Raw genomic sequence first — 3,848 nt, 5'->3', positions numbered from 1 at the left:
CCTGGCTCCATGTGCCGCCTGGGGCCTCAGCGTCCTCATCTGGAAAATGGGGAGAACCCAGTCTCCCACCCGGGTTCCTATGAGGCCTCCGAGAGAAGGTGTTGCAGACGTGTGAGGCGGCAAATGGAGAGGCCCGTAGGGGAGGAAGGGCTGAGACACATCGGGCTCCACAGAGGCGGCTGTGGATCGCTGCTCCCCGTGGGCGGGCTCACGGCCCCTCCCAGTTTATAGCCTTGGGTCTCGGCCCACAGCCCATCTCTCCACTCGCCCCGTGACAGTCCCACCCAGGCCCTCCCTGGGCTCCAACCTCTTCTAAGCAGCTCCCCACCCTCCCTGGGTGTCCCGTGGCCCCTCGTGGGGCCCCCCAGTCTGCTCCTTCAGGTTCCTCCACTCCCAGCTGCAGTGCTGCCCCGTCCAGTAGACCTCCAGGGCTCCATTCCTGCAGGCACTGCATACCTACTGTGTGCTGAGGAAATGCCTACTGTGTGCTGCACGCCTGTTATGTGTTGATGACACAATTGTCGTGTGCTGAGGATTTACCTACTGTGCGCTAAAGATTTATCTACTGTGTGCTGAGGATTTACCTACTGTGCGCTAAAGATTTATCTAGTGTGTGCTGAGGATTTACCTACTGTGTGCTGAGGATTTACCTACTGTGCACTAAAGATTTATCTACTGTGTGCTGAGGAAATGCCTACTGTGCGCTAAAGATTTGTCTACTGTGTGCTGAGGATTTACCTACTGTGTGCTGAGGATTTACCTATTATGTGCTGAGGATTTACCTACTGTGTGCTGAGGATTTACCCACTATGTGCTGAGGATTTACCTACTGTGCGCTAAAGATTTATCTAGTGTGTGCTGAGGATTTACCTACTGTGTGCTGAGGATTTACCTACTATGTGCTGAGGATTTACCTACTGTGCGCTAAAGATTTATCTAGTGTGTGCTGAGGATTTACCTACTGTGTGCTGAGGATTTACCTACTATGTGCTGAGGATTCACCTACTGTGCGCTGAAGATTTATCTACTGTGTGCTGAGGATTTACCTACTGTGTGCTGAGGATTTACCTACTATGTGCTGAGGATTGACCTACTGTGTGCTAAAGATTTATCTAGTGTGTGCTGAGGATTTACCTACTGTGTGCTGCACACCTACTATGTGTTGCTGACACGATTGTCCTGAACTGAAGCTGAAGCTATGCTTACTGTGCGCTGAAGATTTACCTACTGTGTGCTGAGGACACTGCAGGGACCACGACAGACACATTCCTGTCCTCACATTGCTCACGGACAGGCAGTGACCAGATACACACATGTCCATGATAATAACGCAGGTGACAGGCACCGCAAAGGAAAATGAAGGCCAGGTGCGGTGGCTCACGCCTGTCATCCCAGCACTTGGGGAGGCTGAGGCAGGCGGATCACTTGAGGTCAGGAGTTTGAGACCAGCCTGGGCAACATAGTGAGACTAAAAAAAGTTAGCTCGGCACGGTGGCATGTGCCTGTAATCCCAGCTACTTGGGAGGCTGAGATGGGAGAAACCATTGAGCCCAGGAGGTCGAGGTTGCAGTGAGCCGAGGCCACACCACTGCACTCCAGCGTGGATGACACAGTAAGACCCTGTCAAAAAAAAAAAAAAAAAAAGGAAGGAAGGAAGGAAGAAGGAAGGAAGGAAGGAAGAAAACAAAAGAAGCAGGTAAAATTAATTTTAATAATGTGTTTTATGTAATTCAACCTATCCCAAATACTATCATTTGCCGTGGAATCACAATGTTGAGAAGTTTTACACTTTCTTTGGCACTGTGTCTTTGGGACTTTGGGATCTGGATGGGTTTCATGTTTTTGGGGCATCTTGACGTGGGCTGACGGAGAATGGCAGAGGCAGGCGGCACCTGCAGATCCCGGAGGAGCCTGGGCTCTATTCCAGGGGCACTCAGGAGCCATGGAGGGTTTGGAGCAGGAGGGACATGGTTGTGTTAACCTTTGAGAACCACCTGAGAAGCTGAGTGGAGGACGGACTTCAGGGCTGTTGAGGACAAGGCGGGAGGCAGCAAGGAGATGGCGTGAACGGTGACCCAGGTGACCACAGAGAGGAGGCGTCAGGCCTGGGTGCCTTGGTGGGGTAAGGGGTGTGGAAAGAGCAGAGTTGGGGGCTCTTGGGCGCTGGCCAGGAGTCCCTGGGAGGGTGGAGGTGACTGTCCAGCTGGGCAGGGGGCAGCAGAGGGGCAGCTCCCGATGTCGAGGGGCCCTTCTGGGGCAGCCCCTGCCCTGCCTGTCGGGCCAAACTCACAGAACCCCATAGGGGCTGGCTGACATGCAGAGGACACCGCCCAGACTGGTGTGGCTGCCGCCCCTTCCTGCTGGAATGGTGGGCGGGGCGGGCGAGGCTTCAGGGAGCGTTGTGCCAGCAGGAGGAACAGCCATGCAGGGTCACAGAGGAGCCAGTGGCTGCCACGGGCTGCAGTGGGGAGCGAGGCTGGCCAGGCCCCAGGAGCCTCGCAGGGTCCAGGGTGTCCTATCTAAGTGCAATGGTCAGTCACTGCCATGGGGCTGACTCGGGCTGACGGAATGAGATTGGTGCATAGAAAACTTCCCTCCGGCCTCGGCAGACGGATTCCAGGCTTCCCTCATGCCAGAGGGGCCGCAGGGGTGTAAGGGAAGCGGCTGGAGGTGGGTGCATGGAGCTCAGGAGGGAGCCAGGGGCCATCTGGCTGCAGGGTCAGGTGGCCAGGCTGTTAGTGGGGCCGTGGAGGGAGAAGAGGGTTTGGAGGGCATCCCTGCCAAGCCCTCCTAGGCCTGGTGTCCAGGGTGAGGGTCAGTGTGACACCGCCCATCCGCAGGCCTTCCCTCCCGCCTGCACCGCGCCCACCTCACCCACCTCACCATGCCGCAGCTAACACTGTCAGCTGGTAATTGTCCTGGTCCCTTTATCCTGCGCTTTAATAAATAATTTACCTGAATTATTCACATGGAAATTTCAACATTATTAAAAATTAACCAACTTAAATGAGTCCATGGTAAATAGCTGGGTGGCTCTTCCCAGGCTGGATGCCGAAGACCGGGACGGGGGCAGCCCCGAGGGGAGGGGCGGCAGGTGCAGGGCAGGTGAGCAGGGGGTGGGGATAGGCGGGCCTGCGGGGCCGACAGGGCCAGACCCACCCTTGGGAGCAGCCCCAAGGCAGCTTGGAGACAGAAGCCCTGTGCCCCTGACCCCTCACAGTCTGGGCAGCCTCAGGAAAGTATGCACCGCTCTGGGCCATTCGTGCAATGGGATGGCCCCCACTTGCTCAGAGGACTGTGGAGAGGGCCGGGCGAGGAGGGTAACCAGGGGCAACGTGGGATGGTGAGCAAGGAGCCTGCTTCCGTCTAGAAAGCAAATGCACTCTCCCGCCTGGCTGGGCCATGCACGGAAGTGCTTCCCGGCTCAGTGGGCATCAGCAGAGGAGCTCCCTGGGCATGGTGGGCCGTCCTGGGTATGGGGCGTCCTCAGCACCTGCAAGGCCTGGACACAGAGTGCTGAGCAAGGGGTGAGGGAGCTGATGCTTTGCTATAACCGTTTCCCAAGCATTTTCCTTAACATCTCTGCACAGAATGGCACCCCAGCGCCTGCGTCACTGAAGTCAACGTCCTGTGCAGCTTTATTCATTGTGATTAAAGGGTGGAATTGAAGGGTGCTAGGCTTTGGGGAAACATTCTAGATATCTAAACTAGTTGCTGTTTGCAAAATCGTCTTCACCAAACAGAGGTGCTGGGTGCAAATGATTTGGGGTCGGCGTGGCGCCTATGGACAGGGCAGCGGAGAAACCGTACTTGCCCGGTGAGCTGCAGAGGCCTGGGCTCAGAGAGCC

At 56.1% G+C, this 3,848-nt stretch overlaps 1 annotated feature.

The window, feature by feature from the left end:
* Positions 262 to 311: a silencer, noted in NCBI's record as "silent region_17849". NCBI's record gives its function as "represses an Ori minimal core promoter by ATAC-STARR-seq in GM12878 lymphoblastoid cells {active_cell/tissue: GM12878}" and the evidence as "EXISTENCE:reporter gene assay evidence [ECO:0000049][PMID:35858748]".

This window comes from Homo sapiens, chromosome 7 (genome assembly GCF_000001405.40).
Source record: "Homo sapiens chromosome 7, GRCh38.p14 Primary Assembly".
Lineage (NCBI taxonomy): Eukaryota > Metazoa > Chordata > Mammalia > Primates > Hominidae > Homo > Homo sapiens.
This window is presented reverse-complemented; position numbering and strand designations above follow the sequence as displayed.